Below are 25,206 nucleotides of genomic sequence, written 5' to 3' on the forward strand. Positions count from 1 at the left end.
CCATATGCCCCACCTGCACTGTAGACAACCACGAATCTATTTTCTCTCTCTAAAGATTTGCCTACTTTGGACATTTTAAATAAATGAACTCATATGATACGTAGTGCTTCATGACAGTCGTCTTTCATTTTGCATAATTTCAAGGGTGATCCATCTGGTAGCATTTATCAGTACTTCATTCTTTTATTGCCAAATAGTATATGACCTGCATGGCTATACCACATGTTACGTATCCATTCATCAGTTGGTGGATATTTGGGTTGTTTCTGCTTTTCAGCTATTACGAAATAATGTTTCTATGAACATTCATTTACAAGTTAGTGTGGACATATGTTTTTATTTCTCTTGGATATATAACTAGGAGTGGAAATGCTTGGTCCTGTGGTAACTCCATGTTTAATCATTTTAGGAATTGCCAGACTGTTTTTCAAAGTGTCTGTGCCATTTTACATTCCTGCTAGAAATGTATAAAGGTTTCAATTTCTCTACATCCTCACCAACATTTGTTATTATCCATTTTTTTAAATTATAACCATCCATTTGGGTATGAAGTATCATCTTGTGGTGTTGATTTACATTGTCCTAATGGCTAATTGCCTGAATTTCTATTTAATTAAGATACTTTTTGGATATAAAGTTACTGAATTAAGAGTACAATTTTTAAAAAGTTAATATATAGTGCCAAACTGCTTTTCACTAATTGTGTGAATTTTACTCTGCCTGGAAGTATGTAGGTCACTAGTTCCCTAAGATTTTCATCAAAATAAATATTTAAATGGGTATCACTTTAACACCCTTTCTTATGACCCTGGGGCTTTTCATATACATAATAATTATTTATGTAACTCCAGTGAGCTACCCATATTCTTTGTCCATTTTCCTATGGGGTCTTAGTTTTTACTTTTTATTGAGTTATGTACATTTCTTCTATTAGTCATATTTTTCATGAAGTATTTTAGTGTACATTTGTTTTGGAAATTTTTCTTAAAATAGCCTACATTCATCTTGAATAATTTTTATTAAATAAAGAAAGTTTTTTTTTTTTTTTTTTTTTGAGACCCAGGCTGGAGTGCAGTGGCACGATCTCGGCTCACTGCAAGCTCTGCCTCCCGGGTTCACGCCATTCTCCTGCCTCAGCCTCCCAAGTAGCTGGGACTACAGGCGCCTGCCACCACGTCTGGCTAATTTTTTGTATATTTAGTAGAGACGGGGTTTCACCGTGTTAGCCAGGATGGTCTCGATATGCTGAACTCGTGATCCGCCCGCCTCGGCCTCCCAAAGTGCTGGGATCACAGGCATGAGCCACCGCGCCCAGCCTAAATAAGGAAAGTTTTAAAGTAAATTATCACTATAAAACATCTGAAAAAGTAAATATGTCAGAGTCTTTGTGATAACCAATCAGACCAATCATTTCCAAAGAATTAAAAAAGATTTAGAAAATTTAAAAATTCGTATTTGTTTATACAATACAACACATTAGGCAAATGGAGACTAATTGAGACACAGCACTTTGATTACATGAGACACATCCATGCTTCTCCCTGAATCTAATTGAAAATTAAAATATACTTATGTTCAATGAAATATAGGAAATCAGAAATGGTAATTATTTGGGGGTTGATCCTTTTCATTTAGTTTCTTTGGCACTTTAATTATATTTATGGAAATAACTGGAGTTTTAAAAAATATGTTGTTTAGTGTCAATTTCTCAATGTTTACTTGTATTTAAAAAACTGTCATGATAAAATTGAGAGCTGAGCAGCCTATCACTTTTTGGTTTGCGAAATTCTTAAACAGAAATCGCCAAAGTATAGCACACATTCTCTGGCTAATTGTGCTTCCAGAAGGTTAAGTGTGATAGGTGAGTTGTGTGAACACTGAACACCTTTCCCCCAGTTCTACTTAAAAGTCAGAATTGCTCATAAGTGGATTACAAATAGCTCTAGTTTTCTTTTATGAAGATCTGTGAACCCCAAATGCTTACTTTTGAGTAGTTCTGAGTTTATAGTCTTTTGAATTTAAGCACCGTCTTTTTAGGCCTAATGAGTCTCCCCTTCTACGCAGAGCTGCCTGGTTACTATGGCTGAAGCCAGAGGCGGCACAGCGTAATGTGGGATGGCTGACAGATACCATGTTCTTCTCTCTAAACTATGTGCTTCAGTGGCTGAATTTTGATCCATTCAATAGGAGGAAACTGCCTGTATTATGCTTAAATGTACCAGATAAGGAATGGAGAAGAAAGGTATGGGAAAATGTCCTGTGTTGATGTATGTAAACATCATTGGTCTGGGGACACACATTGTGTGATGGGAGTAATTTATCCCTTCTTGTTACTTTTTCTCAGCAGTGGCATTAAATAAGGAAATGTGCCAAGTGTCCCAGTGCTGCTGTCATTGGGAAGGTATTGTAACAAAATGCTAAGGAGTAAGATGCACTCTTTTTTTTATATATGTATATATACTTTAAGTTCTAGGGTACATGTGCACAACGTGAAGGTTTGTTACATATGTATACATATGTCACGTTGGTGTGCTGTACCCATTAACTCATCATTTACATTAGGTATATCTCTTAATGCTATACCCCCCCTGCCTCCCACCCCATGACAGGCCCCAGTGTGTGATGTTCCCCACCCTGTGTCCAAGTGTTCTCATTGTTCAATTCCCACCTATGAGTGAGAACATGCGCTCTTAATAGGAGTCCTGTGTTGGACCCCTATTATGGGTTGAATTGAGTCCTCCAGAAAGATACATGGAAGTCCTAAACCTCCAGTACCCCAGAATGTGACCTTATTTGGAAATAGCATCATTGCAGATGCAATTAACTAAACTGGGATGAGGTTACACTAGAATTGGTTGGGCCCTTAATCCAATAAGGCTGGTTTCCTTATAAGAGTGAAATTTAGACACAGATACACACAGAGAGTAGAAGGCCAGAAGGCAGAAGCAGAAATTTAAGTGATGCATCTATTAGCTGAAGACTGCCAAAGAACACCAGTCATCACCAGAAGCTACAGGAAAGCCATGGAAGAAGTTTTCCTCCAAGTCCTCAGGAGGAACTAACCCTGCTGACACCTTGAGTTCAGACTTCTGGCCTCCAGAGCTGTGACAGAGTAGGGTTCTGTTGTTTCAAGCAACCCAGTTTGTGGTCCTCTGTTACAGCTGCCCTTGCAAACCAACACAGGCTCCAAATCTCTAGCCAAACTGCTTGATAACTTTGGCTCAATTTCTTTATCTGTGGGATAGAAATCATAATAGCAACCCAGTGTGAGGATCCAATGGACTTCTTTATAAGGGGAAAGCTTCTATGTTTGGCTACCTGGGGCTTCTGGCCTTAAGACTTGCACCCTTCCCTGTCAGCAATACTGCTGCAGTTTAGAGACCGGTGGCTGTTAAACTGCAGTACACATCAGAATCACCTGGAGGGCTTGTTAAAACACAGGAGGACTGACCCCACCTCCAGAGTTGCTCATCCAGGAGGTCTGAAGTTGGGCCTTGATAACTTGTGAGTCTAACACGTTCTCAGGCGATACTGATGCTGCAGGTCCGGAGACCACATTTCGAGTACTATGGAATTAGACACTTGGGGAAGATTTATGGGGAACAAAGTAGCAAGGCCAGCCTTAGAGGGAGTTCTGAAAGGGCGGGAGGCTTTGCATCACGTGCAGATAAGCCTTATTCTTGTCGCCACAATGGGTCTCAGCTACTCTGCCCTTCTCCTATGCTGTAACACATGGACATTTATGCTATCTTATTGGCTACAGGTTCTTTTCCAATCTTCATTCTGAACTTGGAAGTTATTTTCTTGCACATTCTGGGCTTGGACTTGAATGTCTATCTATTGTTCCATTTTGAGCTTCCCTGAGTGATGAGATTTGAGATCTGATCTAAAGTTAATTTCAGCATCCCTTTGTTTGACCTGCCCCATGAACCCTTTTCTGGATGACCTCTTCCTTCCCAACACATACTTTATTTTTTAAAATTTCTTACATATATATATATATATATATATATATATATATAATTTATTATACTTTCAGTTGTGGGATACATGTGCAGAACCTGCAGGCTTGTTACACAGGTATACACGTGCCATGGTGATTTGCTACACCCATCAACTGGTCATCTATAGTAGGTAGTTCTCCTAATGTTATTCCTCCCCCAGCCCCCCACCCCCCAACAGGCCCCGGTGTGTGGTGTTCCCCTCCCTGTGTCCATGTGTTCTCATTGTTCCACTCCCACTTATGAGTGAGAACATGCAGTGTTTGGTTTTCTGTTCTTGTGTTAGTTTGCTGAGAATGATGGTTTCCAGCTTCATCCATGTCCCTGTGAAGGACATGAACTCATCCTTTTTTATGGCTTCATAGTATTCCGTGGTGTATATGTGCCACATTTTCTTTATCCAGTCTATCATTGATGGGCATTTGGGTTGGTTCCAAGTCTTTGCTATTGTGAACGGTGCCACAATAAATATACACATGCATGTGTCTTTATAACAGAATGATTTATAATCCTTTGGGTATATACCCAGTAATGGGATTGCTGGGTCAAATGGTATTTCTGGTTCTAGATCCTTGAGGAATAGCCACGCTGTCTTCCACAATGGTTGAACTAATTTACACTCCCACCAACAGTGTAAAAGTGTTCCTATTTCTCCACATCCTCTCTAGCATCTGTTATTTCCCAACTTTTTAATGATCACCATTGTAACTGGCATGAGAGGGTATCTCATTGTGGTTTTGATTTGCATTTCTCTGATGACCAATGATGATGAGCTTTTTTTCCATATGTTTGTTGGCTGCATAAATGTCTTCTTTTGAGAAGTGTCTGTTCACATCCTTTACCCACTTTTTGATGGCATTGTTTGTTTTTTTTTCTGGTAAATTTGTTTAAGTTCTTTGTAGATTATGGATATCAGCCCTTTGTCAGATGGACAGATTGAAAAAATTTTTTTCCCATTCTGTAGGTTGCCTGTTCACTCTGATGCTAGTTTCCTTTGCAGTGCAGAAGTTCTTTACTTTAATTAGATCCCATTTGTCAGTTTTGGCTTTTTTTTTTCTTTTTTTTTTTTTTTTGAGACAGAGTCTCACTCTGTCACCCAGGCAGGAGTGCAGTGGCACGATCTCAGCTTACTGCCACCTCCTTTGTATATGACTTATTAGGTGCTTAATCATCATACATTCACCTATGGAACCAGTTTTCATGTGGTCACTCAGAGACTTTCCCGTTGATTTGTAAACCGCCCCCACCCTCCCCGCCGCCAACCCCTGCCTCACTCTGATCATGTTCAGCTAGACTTAGGAAACTAGGCCATCATTGATCCTCCAAAACACTTTAATTTCTTTTAAGTTTTGCTAAATTTCCCAAAGCTTTTCCCTCCATTCATTCATTCATGAAATGTGGAACACCTCCTGTGTGCTCACAGTGTATGCTCGGCATGCAGTGGTGAACAAAACCCAACAGTGCATGCCCTTGAGTTTGCAGAATAGTGAGAGAAGGGGGAGATACACATTTAAAAAATCACATTAATACATGCAAAATCATAGCTGTGACAAGTGCATCAAAGGAGAGTAGTACTTAGATCTACAGGACTATACTGGTAAATCTGACCCTGTTAGGAAGCTCAGAGAAGTCTTTTGAATGGAGATCTGAAGGGTATTCAGGGAATTAGCCAGGTATAAAGTAGAAAACGATCAGGCAGAGAGAATAGTGTGTGCAAAGCTTGGGCAGGTGAAGGAGTGTACCAGAGACCAACCTTTAGTGTGGGCATCAGGGTACATGAAAGGTGCTGGTGCTGTGTGGCTGAACAAGTGGGGAAGTGCCCAGAGCATGTAACGTTCTTAAGGCTGTGTTCTCATTCTGACCAGATATGAGCCATTGGTCATCTCACTTGTTTCCACTTGCTGCCCTCACACCTGTCATCAGACTTCCTCTACTCAAGATGCGGACTTCATCCCTCTCCACCTTGTCACCAGTGCTCTGTCTCAGGGGAATAGGTACCCCAGGGAAATAGGCATCCCTTCTCCTTTCCCAGGTGACTTCTCCATTTGGCCTTTCTTCCTTCCCTACCGCATTCTCCAGTGACCGCGCTCAGTGAGCCTCTAAGTCTCCAGGGTGACTTTTATCTGCAATGTAACTGGCTCCTTCCCTTTGTTCATTAACACACCCAGGTGGCCCAGCTTAAGAAACAAACAAACAGAAAACTTCCTATCAGTTCCTTTGTTATCCATGACCTGATGACTGGCTCCTCCCTTTCCATTGGTAGTAACGGGGTAGGGGGAAAACTGCCTTTGCTTCTTCACTTCCTCTCTTCTCCTGACTCCTTAGTCAGTTCTGCCTTAATAGAGAATTCTTCCTTGCTCAATGTGTTCACTGGTCTTAAGCTTGAGCATCGGATGGAATTTCCTCCCCTCTGTAATACACCTTCCAAGTTAAGGGCATCTTAAGAGTTGCTGTCAACATTCCCCAATTCAACTGAATTCTATTCACAGAAAACTAAAAGTATTTTCTAGATCTTTGATCTAAGGAATTTCCTACTTGGCAAACTTGCTGTAACTGGACCTCAGAGAAAATTAATCTTCCTGAAAGGATAGCGTTTTAATGTTAAATGTTTGAAATGTAGTTTTAAAGTTGTGCTTTATATTTGATTTGTTCTCATTGAAGTCGGCTTTATATGTGTGGCCCAGAGAAAAATACAAGCTGAGCATGTTTAATAAAACAACCAATCTGAAAAATTGTTTTTCAAGGGGAAAAAGAAAATCCTGGGCCAAATAAAGATGAATAATCTGTTTAAATAGTTGTAAATTGTCGATTGTTTTATCCCTTCTTAAAGTGTAATTTTCTTTTAAAAACACAGTAAAGTAGGGCCAGGCATAGTGGCTCACACCTGTAATCCCAGCACTTTGGGAGGCTGAGGCAGGTGGATCACAAGGTCAGGAGTTTGAGAGCAGCCTGGCCAATATGGTGAAACCCCACCTCTAGTCAAAATACAAAAATCAGCCGGGCGTGGTGGTGGGCGCCTGTAGTCCCAGCCATTCGGGAGGCTGAGGTGGTAGAATCGCTTGAACCCAGGAGGCGGAGGTTGCGGTGAGCTGAGATCATGCCACTGCACTCCAGCCCGGGCGACAGAGCGAGATTCCATCTCAAAAAAAAAAAAGTAAAGTAGAATAAATATATTATCAGTATTATTTTCATATATAAAGCTGATACAGAATATTGGAAGCTTGTACTCAGAGTTCTTAGTATCATTGACAGGTTTATGCTAAATTAAATTATCTCTCCTTTCACACTTGGATTTTCTATAATCAAGAGAATGCATCATTTAGATGATGGGGTAACATGCACACTGTGACTAAGGAAAAGCTTTTCTCTGAAAGGCTAACTAGCTACCAAAATAGCAACAGAACTTGGCCTCTTTTTTTTATTGAGACAGAGTCTCACTCTGTTGCCCAGGCTGGAGTACAGTGGCATGATCTCGGCTCCACGCAACCTCCTCCTCCCAGATTCAAGTGATTCTCCTGCCTCAGCCTCCCAAGTAGCTGGAATTACAGGCACATGCCACTGCACCTGGCTAATTTTTGTATTTTTTAGTGGAGGCGGGGTTTCACCATGTTGGCCAGGCTGGTCTTGAAGTAGTGATCCACCCACCTCAGCCTCTCAAAGTGCTGGGATTACAGGCATGAGCCACCGAGCCAGGCCAGAACTTGGCCTCTTTAACACAGTACTTTAAGAGGCTGACTAGCCAAATGCTATGTTCAGGGTTAACAATATGCCTTCAACATCTCTAGTGATAATATCCAGACAAGAATAGAATAAATAAGCCAATGGTAAAGATGCCCTAACAATTTGCCCTTAATTAAGATGATTCCCATTCCAGAAGTGCCACTGCTCTGAGTCCAGTTGCTTGGCATTTATTTACAAGCACTTAGATGCCAATTCCCAGGGGATTGGGAGGTTCAGACCCTGGCAGCCTGAACCATACCAATCACATAAACAAAAGGTTTGATTTGTAAATCGGAATGTCAATGTCTTACAGGGACAATTGACAGTTTGCTAAAAGACTATATTCCTTGTCACTCAATCTGCCCACCCTTTTCTGAGAAGGAAGCCTAATGCAGTGCTTAGCAGGAACTATAGTTGCCTAAATCTCTGAGTTGGTAGCCAAACAAGAAATGGACCTGAGATTAGAATATCATTGCGGGAAGGGGAAAGGGGATGTAACGCCAAGTGTTTTTGATTGCAACCTAGAAAAAGCAGTGTTGGCTGAGTGAACAAAGGGGAATTTATGGGAAAGGCAATGGGAGCTGAATTGTCAGGACCCTGGAGAACCGGGCTTGGACACATCGAGGGAGTAGTAACCATAACCATTGAACAATCTGCTCAGCCAGTTTCCCAGTTTTTTTGACCCTCTGCTGGACCTAGCTTTCAAAATTTAATCAGGCTTTCACAATTGCATTTAGCCTATATCTAGCAAGTGTCTGTATTATCTGTGAAGAGTTATAAAGACCCTGCACTCAAAGAGGTAAGCATGTCTATGGTACATATTAGGCCAAATACAACACAATCAGGGCTGAGGCTTCAAAAATAAAGAGAGGACACGAGGGTAAAAGGATGGGGAAAGACTTCAAAGGAAAAACACTGCAAATGGGCACTGGAGGTGGCAGGATTTTGTGGGGAAGTCAGAACTATTTCAATCTGCAATGGAAATAGTGATGATGGTACAGATGAAGAGTCTAACATGAGTCACCCACTTGGTTAAGCACTTTCTTCTCCTCTGTGATTGGGTTAAAAGGGTTTATCTAAGTGAAAAGGAAGTTTTTGCAGGGAGAGGCCCCTGTACTTTGGGGGGAGGAGGGCTATATGGGAGAGAAGGAAAGGTGGGAAAGGTGGCCATCCCCGGCAGAAAGACCCACACATCCACTTCAAAAGAGGTTAAAAAAAAATGCTTCTCTCTGTGTATCTGTTGGAGAGTGGGTGGTAGGTGACAAAACTGGAAGCAAGGAAACAAAGATGGTCTTTCCCTTGATTTCTCATCTCTAGGAAAGGGCGTGTTAGCCCTGCCTGAGCTAGGTGGGTGTTCAATGCTACTGGGGCGCATCCAAAGGCACAAAATCTTATGTTAAGCGCCACTCACCCTGGAAAAACTGGGTCCTGCGCAATCGAGGTTTTAGTATCTGGTGAAGGCTTTTGAACATCAGATCCAATGTGGTCAGAAGAAAGCATCAGTGTCAATGATACATTGTTCATTCTTTTATTCATTCATTCATTCATTCAAACCTCTTCTATTTATTAACACTGACTAGAGGCTCTACCCTGAATTGAGGCTAAAGGCTGGAGTAGAAAAAGTAAGGATAAGTCACTTCCCTTCATTGCCTCTGTTTTCCTATCTCTAAAATAAGAAGTTGGAGTTTAATGCCTTTGCTTTGCAATGTTTCTTATGCTTAACGAGCTTACACATGAAGTCAGGAGTAGTTTGCCCCGGTATGAGCCAGAGGCACAGAGACAGGGGTTGAAGCTCAGAAAGATGAATGCTGCTGCTTTTCCTCTGCCTCCTTGAAGCTAGGGACCCTCTGAAAGGTGCCAGGGATGCAGCAGCTCTGTGCAAATGAGAGGTCTGGTATTTGCCAGAAGCTTTACCATAATGCAAGGAGAAATAGTGCATGAATGATGTGATGGGATTATTGCTGACCACGAATTTACTGCCCAATTAGTGAGGTGATATTTTGTGGGGGTTTCATTTAATTGGGACTTTCCTGAGCAGATCTAGGTTTATTTAACAGTTTACATTGATTTTTATCTCGGGAGACTAGGGCAGCATGCTGAATTACCACAACCTTTTACCAAACAAAGCTCTTCCTCGTTGACTTTTGATTCCCCTTTCCCTGCATTGTGCTTCTGCATTTCTCTCCAAAGCCTCTGTTGAAGATTCTTTGCAACCAAAGATGGCATCCATGCTTAGAATTGTTCAGTGTCTGGGGTATTTGTTCCTCTGTATTCAAGTAACAATAAATGTCCCTAGGAAGATTTTTTTTTCAAATTACTCGTCTGGAAACCCCTTGGGATTCAAGGTCCAGCCCATACATGCCTCGATACTTCCCCTTCTCAATCCCAGCATCTCCTACCATGATGCTTGCTAGTAGGAGGAGCTTAACAAATTTCTTCAAAGGTGACATCTCAAAGGTCTTTACAGGCATAAATTGTGGCTTCAATACAAATGCTGGGTTTAGATGATGTATCAGTCTGTTTTTACGCTGCTGATAAAGACATACCTGAGACTGGGCAATTTACAAAAGAAAGAAGTTTAATTGGATTCACAGTTCCACCTGGCTGGGGAGGCCTGACAATCATGGCAGAAGGTGAAAGGCACCTCTCACATGGCAGCAGACAAGAGAAGAGAGCTTGTGCAGGGAAACTCCTGTTTGTTTTTTTTTTCTTTTATTATTATATTTTAAGTTTTAGGGTACATGTGCACATTGTGCAGGTTAGTTACATATGTATACATGTGCCATGCTGGTGTGCTGCACCCATTAACTCGTCATCTAGCATTAGGTTTATCTCCCAGTGCTATCCCTCCCCCCTCCCCCCACCCCACAACAGTCCCCAGAGTGTGATGTTCCCCTTCCTGTGTCCATGTGATCTCATTGTTCAATTCCCACCTATGAGTGAGAATATGCGGTGTTTGGTTTTTTGTTCTTGCGATAGTTTACTGAGAATGATGATTTCCAATTTCATCCATGTCCCTACAAAGGACATGAACTCATCATTTTTTATGGCTGCATAGTATTCCATGGTGTATATGTGCCACATTTTCTTAATCCAGTCTATCATTGTTGGACATTTGGGTTGGTTCCAAGTCTTTGCTATTGTGAATAATGCCGCAATAAACATACGTGTGCATGTGTCTTTATAGCAGCATGATTTATAGTCCTTTGGGTATATACCCAGTAATGGGATGGCTGGGTCAAATGGTATTTCTAGTTCTAGATCCCTGAGGAATCGCCACACTGACTTCCACAATGGTTGAACTAGACACTCCTGTTTTTAAAACCATCAGATCTTGTAAGACTCATTCACTACCACGAGAACAGTGTAGGAAAGACCCACCCCCATAATTCAATCACTCCCACTGGGTTCCTCCCACGACACGTGGGAATTGTGAGAGTTACAATTCAAGATGAGATTTGGGTGGGGACACAGCCAAACCATATAAGATGAGGTGCAGAGGATGCCTGGGCGACTAAATCAATGGTTTCCAAAGGATTTAATGTAATGCCCTTAAGTAGTTTTTTTCTCCCAAGGTAGTTTCTTTGAAGTTAAGCAGCATGAGACTTCCAGGTTGGTGGATGAAGAACCAGGGAAAGATAGAAACTGCCTTTTTTATAATGTAGGGCTCAGTTAAGTATTCAAAGTTCCAAGGAGGCAATTCAGGCCCCCATTTCACACCTTTCACTGTTAGAGAGCAGAGCTCCTATCCATCCCAGGCCCTTCCACTTTGTAGATCAATTGCTCTATCTTTTGGCAGCTTCAACAAAGCCCTGTCTTATGAAAATGCTTTATTGTTCAGATCAGGGACCTGGTAGTAAAAATTAACTATAAAATACTTTTTTTTCTATTATGCAAGTAATGGGTAGCCTTTTTAAAAATTGGAAACATAGAGAAAAAAGTTTATTCCTAACAACCGGAGCCTCAGTGGATTAAAATTACTCAGGTTTCTCACTGATGCTACATGCCCATTGAACGTCAGGTGGGGACTCTGCACTGCTTTAGTCTCACTCTGGATACTGGCTGACAGACCACAGCTTTCTAGAATATTGCGGCCGAGGAAAAGAAAGCTTTGCGGCATCTCATACATCTCATATTGCTGCTGCAGAAGTGACAGTCACTTTTCCTCTTAAACCTCTAGTCAAAACTTGTAACCATGCCTCCACTTAACAAGAGGTTTGGAAAGTGCAATTCTGCCATGTAGGGAAAGGTATATGAACAGTGGTAAGGGCTACCACACTGGAGAATAGCTCCTTTCATCTGCCTCCCTTTGCAGCCTGCGTCCCTAGTCCATGCGCTCTACTGCTCCAGTGCCCACCACTGCTTGACTCTGCCTTTGTGTGTGTCAGTTCACATTATCAAGAAGGACCATGACTGGTAGCTCTACGGATGGAGGACCCTTTTGTAGCAGGTGTTCACCCTGTGCCCAAGCCGCAGTGCCTAGAAGAGTGGGGATGGGTCTGTGGCTCCTATCAGGCTGCAGGAGTTGCGGAGACAGAAAAAGTATTTCTAGGACTCCCATTTGGCCTTGCAGTCTCTACACATCCTTGGCAATTTCTCCCATCTTGGCTTCTCCTTCTTATCACTTTGGTCCACATACGGGGACAGCGTCTAAGTTCTTTCTGACCACCTCCTCAGTCCTAGAAAAACCAGACTTGGTTAAGTACCAGAGCACAGAAGGCATTTAGTGCTGCTCTGCTCCCAAGTCATCTATTAGTTTCACTTTAGCCAGCCATACCTCCTTGGTTACATATGAAGCATCTGTATATAACTTAGTATCATGCTTTTTCACATTATATTTTGATTTTTATCGGACCGGAAACCCTAAATCCACAAGCATAACAACAAGATCACATTTGGGCTTTTTCATTTCTGTAACCAGAGGATTGAACGCTAGTTTTGTAGTAAGACTTCAATTCTATTTATCCGTCCAGGCTTAAGGGTTCCTGTTCTTCTTTTTAAGTCATTAAATTGTATCAGACAAGGGGGAAAACGCGTGTGTGACTTTCCCTAAGGTAAGATGGGCTTAAGGGATATTGAAACCAGGGCAGAGAAATGTTTTCTGTGACCCACCAGTCAGGGCAAGGCATAGAAGGAGCAATGACTTATTCATTAGCCCAGATAGAAGGCCAGTCTTTTTCAGGCTGCGGCGCAGAGACGCCAGGCTCAAAGGGCAGGAGGGCCGTCTGCAGGCAGCGCCGCCGCGGCTACCTGGAAGCCCAGCAAGTCACCTGAGTCCTGCGGGTGCCTGGGCTGCCAATCTGCAGCGACCCGTCCGCAGCCCCCGGGGGCAGGAACACCAACCCCGGGACAGGAGGACGTCCTCGGCCCGCTGACTAGGGATCCGCCAGCGGGTGCCGCTGAGCCACATCCCCGCAGTTGGCGCCAGCATCCAGGTACCGCGCGCCACAGCACCTGCCTGGGCGTTCCCGCGCTTGGGGCGGGGCTTCCCGCGTCCCCTTTAAGAGGCCGCATCACCCGCCCTTGACGTCAGAGTGTTTCTCCGCAAGAGCCCGTGTCCCGCTAGGCTCCGCGCCCTCGCGCCCATAGCCCCGGCGGCGGCACGACCAGAGGCGGCCAGGGGAGCGCGCCGCCCCGCTCGGCCCTCCAGTCCCCCTCCGCCTCCTCCCTCCCGCACAGCAGCCGCCAGCGCGGCCTCCTGCACCATGTCGGTGGCCGGCCTCAAGAAGCAGTTCCATAAAGCCACTCAGGTAAGGCGCGCGGCAGGTGCGTCCCGGGGCAGTCCGGGGCGAAGCTGCGAGGGGCGCGCTCGGCGCTGGCCGTCCGGCGGCAGCTTGGGGAGTTCGGCACCGAGCCTCGCCCGCGCCGGCCGCGCCCCGCCTCGCAAGCCAAGGCGGCGGCTCGGGGCATCCCCGGTCTGGGCGTCCACCCTCGGTCCCCCGCCCCCGGCTTGGTGCGCGCTGCCTTCCCGCGGGTCCCCGGCGTCCTGCCTGGTAGCGCTGCTCGCCGCCCCCGCATCATCTCGCGCCCGTGCTGCAGGAAGGGGACCGCGGCTGCACTGCTGCCGCGGCGCGCAGGTGCCTTGGCGGCGCGGTGGGAGATTATGTAAAGTCGCCTCTTCACGGGTGACCTTGCGGAGTCGGTGCACCCGGCTTTCCCGGGATGTGTTGGCATGAGCGGTGGCCGCACTGGGGGTGGCGGGGCGGAGGCCGGCGGTTTGCGCTCCTCTCCCTTACCCTGTTGTCAGAACCCTCCTTCCCCGCCGCCCGCAGGCTCCAGGGGAATGGAAGGCTGGGGTCTTCCTTTAGGGACCCGCATACATTAACTTTTACCTGGAGAACTCGGTCGTGAAACTCCTTTGAGGCCAGGGCATGACAAACAGTCTGCGGGTCTTAAATATTTCCCTAAAACAACCAAATTGTTGAAGACTTAAAATCATCATGTATTTTAAATTGTTTTTAATAAATCTTTGGCATCTTGGATGTGCCCATTTTTCTTTATGGGGTTAATAAGCTGTGACTGTAATAAAACTGATTAATTTAGATTCTAATAATTAAAATCATTGGACTCAAAGAATTTTACATAGGGGCAAGTAAGCGAATACTTACGCTGTGACCTATTTCTTACATAATGTGTGTGATTACTACTTTTTTATCCTTCTGAAATAGGTTCAAATTTATGGGATCTTTAAGGATTTTGATGACTTACCGCGAAATGTTTTTCATGATTTGGTGTTAAATAGTTTTTCATAGGTTAGCCTTAATTAACGAGCTTTCTCATAATTTCTCGGAAGTAGTGAGGTTTTTCCTAGGCTACCACAGTGGCAGCCTTGTTATGAACCACATCCAGAAAAGGTGAGGGTTGTGTTTTACAGAACCTTGGTTAACTTAGGGTGACAGATGCAGCATGTAATTCCCGTCGTGTGTGTGTTTGCACGCATCTGCATCATCTTCATCACACATTCTTGCCTTTATAGAATCAATTATACCTGTCAACTTAGGAAATCAAGAAAAGTAAGACTATTTCTGTAAAAATGTTTCTTAATGTAATTATTTTTGCTTTTCTATTATAATTGGAGTTATCTGTGACCTCTCTGCCAGACATGTTTATGAAAGTAAGTGATTTGTTTGTTGATGTAGTTTGGAAGGCTTCTAATAACTTTATACTGCAAGTTCTTTCAGGTTTACAGAACCAAGCATATGTGCTGCCCAGGAATTCTGTGGCAGGACTTCTTCGATATTACTAACCTTTTTGATTGCTCTACTGGTCACTTCTCTATAGCATATCTCAGCACTGCGTTTACCAACACATCTTTTTTCCACTTGGATTCTAAAGATTTCTTTTGCAAAGCTTAGTGCCCTCAAAGGCAATTAAGAGTCTTGGCTTTGGAGTGGGAAAGGCTAAGGTTTGAATCCTGCCTCTGCTGCTTCTGACCTTGAGAGAGTATTTAACTTCTGAACCTGTCCATGCTGAAGTGATGATAATTTCCGTTGTCTCTTCAGGGTTGAGGTGAAGAGAAACGAGTGTGTAGAACACACGTATAAAGTGTTCAATAAATTATAGTTATTGACATAAAGGATATTTTTATTAGTATAAAATACTATCCCTTATGCTGTGAAGAAGTTACCCAAGCTAGACCTTTTAGTTTTTCCAACTTAAAAAATAGAGCGCTCCATTTCCGCTAAATCTTGAAGTTCTGTGTCGCCCTAAAGTGTAGAAAAAATAATTTAAACTGCGTTAGGAAAGAACTTAAAAGGTTGGAGAAGGTCGGCATGTGATGCGATACGGTTAATGTTTATCACACCGAATCCAAATGCAGAATCACTGCGTCATTGTCTTCCTTTTACTGAAAAGCCTTTTATTTGAAAGGTGAAGCAGCACGTAGTCTCTTATCCATAATTTAGTGTAGCACACTCTTAGAAAGTCTAAGGCACAGGTGACTGTTCTGTGCATATGTATATTTAGGAGAGTATGTAAAGCCCATGTTAATGTTTGCATGTGACAAAAAAATTAGAGAAATAGTCCTGTCCTACTTTTGTAGCCATTTTTTTCCATCAGGTCCGTGAACCTGATGTTATCTACAGAGAAGCTTTAGACCTAGAATTACTTCCTTTTGAGAACTGATGTGCTGGATAATATAGCCTGGGTTTGTTTGTTTGTTTATTTATTTATTCATTTGAGACAAAGTTTGACTCTTGTCGCCCAGGCAGGAGTGCAATGGCGTGATCTCAGCATACTGCAACCTCTGCCTCCTGTGTTCAGGCGATTCTCCTGCCTCAGCCTCCTGAGTAGCTGGGATTATAGGCATGCACTACCACGCTCAGCTAATTTTTGTATTTTTAGTAGAGACAGGGTTTAGCCATGTTAACCAGGCTGGTCTCGAACTCCTGACCTCAGGTGATCTGCCCGCCTCGATTACAGGCTGAGCCCCCGCACCTGGCCTATAGCCTGGGTTTATAAGTGGAAGGAGTCTGTTCACGCAAACGTTTCTTTCTATGGAATTGAGCTTTTTTGCTTGTGTTAGTAAGCGATGATAAATAAAACAGTATATTGTTTGTACTTGGAATTTCTGATTAAATGTGTCACAACTGTTGTCTTATATTAGAATTGGTTATTTCTACCTTGTTGCTGACAGTTATTTTCAATATGTTTACAATTTGGAGGTAAAAAAATGCTTTTGCCAAGTAAAATTTATTAGAGAAGAAAATCCTTTCAGCATGAAAATATATAATGATACCAAAAATTGATTGATCATCTTATTTTCATGTACTTCATTACTTAATTGCTCATAAAGATATAATTTACTGTATAATTAGAATAAAGTATTCTTTTTTTACTGTAATAAAGGGCAGATGATCTTGTGTTGCTCTTTTAGTGAGTTTTATTCATATTGAGATTTCATTTTACAAAAGTCATGTCAGTTTTTTTACACTTGTTTTAAACTGGCAGCAGCTTAGTTAAAAATAGCTGTTTCCAGTGAACATGAAGCTCCTACAAAATCTGTATTTTTAAAAATTCACTCTATCATGCATATGATGTGGACACATTTTGCTTTACAATATGTAAAAGTCTATTATAAAGTAAAATATATTAGGTCATTTTATGAGTTTGCTGGAGCTGCTGTAACAAAGTACTACAAACTGAGTCGTTTCAACGACAGAAATACATTGTTTCCCACTTCTTGAGACAAGCACACTTGAAGTCTGAGACCAAGGTGCCAGTAGGGCCACGAGCTCTCTGAAGGTATGAGACAGGATCTATTCGAGGCTGCCTTCTTAGCTCTTGTGCTTTGTTGGGAATCTTTGGGCTTCCTTGGCTTGTAGATACATCACCTTGGTCTCTGCCTTCATGCTCACATGACATTCTCCCTGTGTGTGTCTCAGTGTCCAAATTTCCCCATTTTGTAAGGACCCCAGTCATATAGGATTGGGCAAGCCCATCCTACTCCAGTATGATTTTATCTTAAATAATTACCATCTGTAATGCCCCTATTTCCAAATAAAGTTGCATTCTGAGCTATTGTAATTAGGACTTTAATATGAATTTTGGGAGGGGCACAGTTCAATCCATAACAGTCGTTATTTGCATAAAAGGATTAACCACAGTATTCTATATTTGATTCAACATCTAAGAGGACAGTTCAGCCTATAAATAACATATAACTTTCTATTGCATCAAAAAGATATACTTTCTCCTTTTTTAATGAGTTGGTTAGTATATTGCTAAGTTCTGAATGTGTCCCTCTAAAATACGTATGTTGAAGCTTGACTGCCAATGTGACAGTATTAAGAAATGGGGCCTTTAGGAGGTGACTAAGTCATGAGGGCACTCATGATTAAGTCATGAATGGGATTAGTGCTCTCTTAAAAGAAGTTGAAGGGGTCACCCTGTCCCCTTCCACCGTGTGAGGGTTTAGCAACAAGGCACCATCTTTGAAGCAAAGGGTGGGCCCTAGCCAGGCACAAATCTGTTAGTGCCTTCATCTTGGACTGCTAGCCTCCCAAACTGTGAGAAATAAATTCTATTATTTATAAATTACCCCGTCTAAGATATTTTGTTAGTAGCCTGAACAGACTAAGTCAGAAATATACCTATTATAAATTGTGTTTTCTGATTTTTTTAAATGATAAAATTAATTTGGGTAGGCTGGGTTTTATGATACAGTCTGGTATATGTTTATTTGTCACACTCAGATTCCTTAACTGGGAAAATTTCATCATGTTTGTGTTCTGTGTCTTTTTGTTTTACCTAATTTCCTCTTTCAGAATGCTGTATTTTATATGGATGCTTTGCTCAGGAGACCATTACATAAGTCTTTTCATGCATTTGTTGATTTGGTGAGATGTTAAACTTACTAAGTATTGGATTAAATATCTAATTAGTTATGACTTTATCTCAGTGAGATTTTCAGTTTCTTAATTGCCTCTAAGCAGTCAACTCTCTGCTGCCTTTAAAATCTTGGCTGTGGCTTGTTGCTTGACCCAGGATTTCTACACCTGTACCCTTTCACATTCTTAGCCAGTAGTCTCTAATAGGCTGCAAGGGGCCTATATATTTTATAAAATTATAAGTAACATTTTATACATGCATTTTTCTGAGGGAGAATGCCCTTAGCCTGTTACCAGATTCTTAAATAAATTCCTAATTGCTGCCCCTTCCTCCCCTCGAAAAGTAAAAATAGGGTGGGGCGTGGTGGCTCACTCCTGTAATCCCAACACTTTGGGAGGCCAAGGCGGGCGGATCACTTGAGGTCAGGAGTTCAAAACCGGCTTTGCCAGTGCAGTGAAACCTCGTCTCTACTAAAAATACAAAAAGATTAGCTGGGCGAGGTGGCAGGTGCCTGTAATCCCACCTACCCAGGAGGCTGAGGCAGGAGAATTGCCTGAACCCAGGAGGCCGAGGTTGCAGTGAGTCAAGATGGTGCCACTGCACTCCAGCCTGGGCAACAGAGTGAGATTCTGTTTCAAATAAATAAATAAATAAATTCATCATGTCATCAGGAGAAAGTGGATGTTTCTTACAATAATCACTCCAACAGTTCTGTTACTGGGCTTTAGGATGCCTGATCAAAATGCAGCCTTCTCTGCATTAATTTAGCAGCAATCAAATGTAAAAAACCTTTCCAGAGGTGTCAGGATTGAATGAGGTAATGCTTGTGAGAGTGCCATGCTTGCATAATAAGGATCACTTGAACCATGTAAAACAAAATGTTGTTAATGCGCTTGAAGTCAACGATACGGGCCTGTGGGGTATATGAAAAGAAAGTGGTGACTGAAAATGATTTCTCTGTAGACTGAGAGTCCTCGTGATTGAAGTTTGTGTTGTTGAAACAGCTATATTTTTGCAAGCTTTTTTCCCCATAGTGATTCTTTAATATTTTAAATTGAGTTTATATGAATTTTGGTTTCAGTCTACTTAGAAAATTTTAAAGTAACCTGCAAATTAATTAGAAGTACCCTAGAAAATGGCAAGACTTGGTTGGGGCAAATGGTGACTGTTTTGAGACAGATGTCATTGTGGAAGGGAGAGGTTTAATATTCAGGGGAAGGGAGCTGAAGCTTGCAGAGCAGATTCCATTCTGCCAAGCCTCTTGTGCTGCATACAGAGTCTCAGGGCATCAAGCAACCCGAGGGCTTTCTTCAGAGGAGTAGCTTGAGGCAGCGGCGAGAGAAGGGCAGGACACACTGACAAATGAATAATGAGAATTAGGTGAGGAGATGGAGTTTAAGAACTGCTTCAAACTTTAAGGTGGATACCTGATGGGGCTTTCTAGAGATGAGCAATTCTTCTCAATTTAAGGCCAGATAGGGGAGATGCTAAGTAGGTAAGAAGTCAGTGGATTTTTTGGCCTCCTTTTTTCTCTTTTTGTTCTTTTAATCCTTCGTACCCTTGTCCTGTGTTCTTTTAGGTAATGTTCAGTGAGGTGTAGCCACAAGAGGGGACATAGGAGAGGCTCAAGAAAACAGAGTTTATTATACTCACATGTCTTAGAATGACAATCACTGTACAGGAGGATAGGAGGGGGGACACGTGGGGTGGAGGTGACAGCTCTGAGAGCAGGATCAGCTAAGCAGGTGGGAAACAGGTGGGAGCAGAGAGAGCAAGGACTGTGGGCAAGTGCCTTTACTAGTGATCTCAGTGCAGTTCACAGCTCAGTGCAGTTCACAGTGCGTTGCATTGGTGCATTGGTAGGTCGTGGTCAGAAGAAGACAGAGAGGTGAACTTGTGGTAGGGGCCAACCTTATCAAACTTGTGCACCTGGTTACCTGGGTGGGGTGTTCACAGTTAGCGTATGTGGGAATGAATGTTGAGGCAGCAAGAGGCAGCAGGAGACAACATGTGAAGTTTTGAAACTTTGTAGTACAACCCTTCTCAGTGTTTTTGGTTTAGAATTTATTGTTTCCATAATCACTTAAGGAGCCTAAAAGCTTAAGAATGATGTACATGGTATCCGATGGATAATAAAGACTAAAGAGAGCTATAACTATACTTATTAAAATGCCATGATTGTGAGACCCTGCCAAGTCTTTTGCATTCTACCAACAAAATATTTTCATGCTATACTAAATCATTAGCTGATGACAAATGCTTCAGGAAATAATTTCACTATTTATAAAGGTTTTACATTTAGTACAACTTCTAAATGCCAAATATGATGTTGTAGTTGCTCTACCCTAATCTCCCTCCGCCATCCCCTGGGTCAAATTGTATATAGTAGTAATGAATATGGAGAAGCTGTCTGTAATACTCGTGAAGAACCCACAGCTCCATGGAGGTTTACTTGGATACTTAGGACACTGAAGGACCTCTAGGCAGTGTTTTCTGCCTTTTTTTGAATTATGATATATATAAAAAATAGAAATATCTTTTTTATAATTCAAACTAACCTTTCCCCATAGATACTAATGGAAGCAGTTTTATAATGCTGAGAAACATCTCAATATCAAGCTATGTATTAGTCTGTTCTCATGTTGCTAATAAAGGCATACCCGAGACTGGGTAATTTATAAAGGAAAGAGGTGTAATTGACTCACAGTTCTGCATGGCTAGGGAGGGCTCAGGAAACTTACAGTCATGGCAGAAGGGGGATCAAAAATGTCCTTCACATGACGGCAGCAAGGAGAAGTACAGAGCAAAGTGGGGTAAAAGCCCCTTATAAAACCGTCAGCTCTCGTGAGAATTCACTCACTATCACGAGAACAGTGTGGCGGTAACCACCCCTATGATTCAATTACCTCCCACCAGGTCCCTCCCATGACACATGGGGATTGTGGGAACTACAGTTTAAGATGAGATTTGGGTGGGGACACAGCCAAACCGTATCACAGAATAATGCTTGAAAGAAACATAAAGCAGATAGCCTATGCTTTTAAACGTACAGGAAATCGGCTGGGTGCGGTGGCTCATGCCTGCAATCCCAGCACTTTGGGAGGTCGAGGCAGGCAGATCACTTGAGGAGTTTGAGACCAGCTTGGCCAACATGGCAAAACCTCGTCTCTACTAAAAATGGGAAAATTAGCCAGGCTTGGTGATGCACAGCTGTATTTCTGGCTACTCAGGAGGCTGAGGCAGGAGAATTGCTTGCACCTGGGAGGCGGAGGCTACAGTGAGCCAAGATCACACCGTTGCACTCCAGCCTGGGCGACAGAGCGAGACTGTCTCAAAAACAAAACAAAACAAAACAAAAAGTACAGGAAATAATGTCCACAGTGAATGACTCCAGTGAGGAAAGGAGAGAAGGGGAGTCAGGACAGTTATTGTCCATAACAGTGATGGCATCCTGCAGGGGGCATTGTGAAATCCCCTGCCTGCCAGTAGAGGAAGTTCCTTGGTTTTACAATCTGGCTCTGCAATCTGGGAAGAACTCTTGTTCTTTCTTATATATATTTGGCCAGGTCTAAGGAGGGTTAGAGGAAATCTGCCCTCTTTGGGAACGGCATAACTTTTCAGTCAACTTCCTGTTTATTTAAATTTGGGGATTGTTTTACAGTCATAGGGTTTTCACTATCCATGGTAGATTTGAGTAATGAAATTTCTTCATAAACTTAGTAGGCTTCTGGCCAAGTGCGGTAGCTCATGCCTGTAATCCCCGCACTTTGGGAGGCCGAGGTGGGCGGGTCACCTGAGGCCAGGGGTTCAAGACCAGCCTGGACAACATGGTGAAGCCGCTTCTCTACTAAAACTACAAAAATTAGCCAGGCATGGTGGCCTACGCCTGTAGTCCCAGCTACTCGGGAGGCTGAAGCTTGAACCTGGGAGAGTTGCTTGAACCTGGGAGGCAGAGGTTGCAGTGAGCCAGATTGCACCACTGCACTCCAGCCTGAGCAGTAGAGCAAGTCACTGTCTCAAAAAAACAAAAACCAAAAAAAAAAAACCAGAAAAACTTCAACTTAATAGGCTTCTGATGTGTTTTCTTGTGAGTTTCATTTGCCAATTTCTATGATGGAAATTCTTTTTTAGACCTAATTTTCATCCAGTAGACTTGGTTGTGTTACTCTGAACTTAACAAGAGGGCCTGATACTTTGGCTTAACCAAGAAGTCTTAATGGTACTTTGTTGCTCAAAGTCTTTTTCATTTATATTTCCCGTTATTTGCTTCAGGGACTCAGGATGACCCTGGATCGGTTCTGCCATCTGTAACATATGGTTTTCAAGGTTGCCAAAGGGAAAGAATATGTTTGAACAAGCATGGGAGATGTTCATAAGCCAGGCCTGGAAGAGGAATATGGTAGACAGAATGCTACGATTGTTGGTGACTCTTGCTCTTGTGTACTCTCCTCCCCTTTGAGTGTGGGTGCAATGTTCAATTTGAAAAGATGTTATTCCTGAGACTTTTAACTTTGTAAGACAAAAGGGAGATTATATGATTGGACTTAATCTAATCTCATGAGCCCTTTAAAAGCAGGATATTTTCTCTGGCTGGTAGTGGAAGGAAAAATCAGAGAGATTGGAAGTATGAGCAGGACTGGACATGCTGTTGTTGGTTTAAAGAGGGAGGGGCCATGTGAGTAGTAATGCAGGCAGCCTCTAGGAGCAGAAATCAGCTCTTTGGTGACCATCAGCAGGGAAAATAGGGATCTTAGACCCACAGCCTTGAAGAATCTGAGAGGAAGGGAATTCTTCCCCCAAGCTTCCAGATAAGAGCCCAGTCTAGCCAACGCCTTCATTTTGGCCTTGTGAGGCCCTCAACAGGGAGCTCACTTAAGCAGGCCCAGACTTCTAATTTATAGAATTGTAAGATAATAAATGGGTATTGTTTTAAGCTGCTAAATTTGTGGTAATTTGTTATACAACAGCTGAAAATGAAGAGAAGGAATAGTTCCTTCTGTTTATGTTTGGTTGGCTGGAACTTGTAACATGGCCCCTCTGTGGTACACCTAAGAGAAATGGAAGAAGGCAAGTGTAGCCTAGCTATGTGCCCAGGATGTAAAAGTGGGTTTTTGGTTAAAAAGCTAGCAGTTTTGCTATTACTGGTGCCTATAATTAATTAATTGTGTGTCTGTATATTAATCTATTTGTGAGCTTGTAAGTGTATGTATATGTGCATATGTCCATATGTACATACACAACATACATATGCACATATGAATTTTAAGTCTAGTTTGCTGAATAAGTCTTTTCTTAATACATAAGGCTCAGTATGTTCCATGTGCCTTTTGAAACTGTCGTCCAGGCTGGGGTATAATGGGGCGATCACAGCTCACTACAGCCTCAATCCTCTGAGCCCAAGCAATCCTCCCACCTCAGCCTCCAGAGTAGTGGGACTATAGGCGTGTGCCGCTATGCCTGGCCCATGTGCCTTTTTAATATATTTTTTATTTTATAGATTTTTTTCTACAGTGCTTTGGCTTTTTGATATTTAGATGTTTTTCTCTGATGAGGCACAAGTTTATTTCTGTGGCTCCTGATCAGTTTTTTTTTTAACAGTGGCACCGTTAAGTACTTGCTGAGCAGTACCTTAGCCTGGTGGGCTGGTGGAACAGTGACAACTTCTCTAACCTTGGAATAGAGAGACTACAGATCTGCAAAGAAGTTTCTGAATTCTTAGTCTCTGACAGTGTGGCAGGGATTTCAGTTAGAGTAGAGGAGTTGACTGTTAATCCTGCATCTGTTTTTGTGCTTGGGGGAAGGCTGAGGCCAACACAGACAGTGAAATGCCTTACTTAGTGCAGGCACATCGGATGGCTACATGGTACTTTGAAGTTGTTCATTAAGTTGTTGAGGATTGCAGATTTGTGTAGCACATTTGAAGTGTGTTGTGGTGTAAGCAGCAGGGTTGAGGGTGGTTGTGGGCCCCGTAACATGTGGGCCATTGTCTGTGATCCGTTAGCCCCATGCTCTTTGACGTGATTCATGGATCCTTAGCCCTGAATGGTTTTCTAGGTACATCTGGTAGACGGTGCCAGACATAATTTGGAAGGCATGCGGTCTGGCACCCTGAGATATATTTTAGGGACTTGGTGTCAGTTGAGCAGCTTGGCCAGGGAGAGAATAGTGAGGCCTGATTTTGTATCTGAGTGGTAAGTAACCTGAAGGAGAGGTGTCCTGTAGAAATTGCAGGGTGGACACACCTCTCACTTCTGTTATTTTCTGCATATACTGGTTGCTGAGGTGACCCTAATGTGCTTCTTTCTATTGAGTTAATGTGTGTACAGTGGCTTGATGGCTGAATTTATACCATTCATTATTTTACTGCTTAAGTGGCTGCATCTGGGCAAGAAGGACCTACAAACCCTTTGCCATGGCCATTGCACATCATCATCGTATAATACACTGGCTAAAGGAAGTGTTTTCTGGAGGTGTTCATCAGTACTGTAGTTAAGAGTTTACTGATTAATATTAATAGCCTGTTATCCAGAGATCTTCTACTTCTGATGATGAACCTTGCACTTAAGTTCTGTCTCCCATTTCACTTTTTAGTTAAGTTTAACAAACAGTAAAACTGTTTTCCATTATTCTCTTTTCCATTCATCTCATCCATTATGCTCTATGTATTTTGGGCCATTTGAAGCTGATAAACCTAAAATCTTTGGATTTTTCACCTTTTGATCATTATATTCACCTTAAACCCAGTCCAAATTTTGCAGATATATTTATAGTGCTCATCGTCCCTATGTTCTAGACATGGAAAGCTCCTTTTCCCTAGCTCCAAGAAAAGCTGGAAGAATGTCATTCTTTACACAACTTAAATTGTTCAGAAGATATTTTTGTGATCACAAAGGTGTATTTAATTCATTTTTGTTTTATTTTGTTTTTGAGACAGGGTCTCACTCTGTCGCAGTGGCGTGACCACGAATCACTGCAACCTCCTCCTCCCAGGCCCAAGCCTCCCTCCTCAGCCTTCCAGGTAGCTGGGACTACAGGCTCACGTCACCACTCCTGGCTAATTTTTTTGTATTTTTGGTAGAGACAGGGTCTTGCTACATTGCCCAGGCTGGTCTTGCACTCCTACTCAAGTGATATGCCTTCCTTGGCTTCCCAAAGT

At 42.6% G+C, this 25,206-nt stretch overlaps 1 protein-coding gene and 1 pseudogene across 1 annotated transcript in view, besides 1 other annotated feature; one reads left to right on the top strand and one right to left on the bottom strand.

Moving 5' to 3' along the window:
• Nucleotides 12,062-12,260: a silencer, noted in NCBI's record as "fragment chr9:17577876-17578074 (GRCh37/hg19 assembly coordinates)". NCBI's record gives its function as "represses an EF-1alpha promoter that drives an FKBP-Casp9 reporter gene in an ReSE screen in phorbol 12-myristate 13-acetate-treated (for megakaryocytic differentiation) K562 erythroleukemia cells {active_cell/tissue: K562(+PMA)}" and the evidence as "EXISTENCE:reporter gene assay evidence [ECO:0000049][PMID:32094911]".
• The window catches only part of SH3GL2 (SH3 domain containing GRB2 like 2, endophilin A1), a 218,059-nt gene continuing 206,102 nt past the window's right edge, over nucleotides 13,250-25,206 (top strand). The window contains exon 1 of the mRNA NM_003026.5: nucleotides 13,250-13,471. Coding sequence (NP_003017.1) covers nucleotides 13,427-13,471 — 45 coding nt within the window. The 5' untranslated portion in view covers nucleotides 13,250-13,426. The remainder of the gene's footprint in view (nucleotides 13,472-25,206) is intronic.
• On the bottom strand, nucleotides 23,647-24,880 carry PABPC1P11 (poly(A) binding protein cytoplasmic 1 pseudogene 11; annotated as a pseudogene).

The sequence above is a fragment of the Homo sapiens genome, chromosome 9 (assembly GCF_000001405.40).
Source record: "Homo sapiens chromosome 9, GRCh38.p14 Primary Assembly".
NCBI classification, from domain to species: domain Eukaryota; kingdom Metazoa; phylum Chordata; class Mammalia; order Primates; family Hominidae; genus Homo; species Homo sapiens.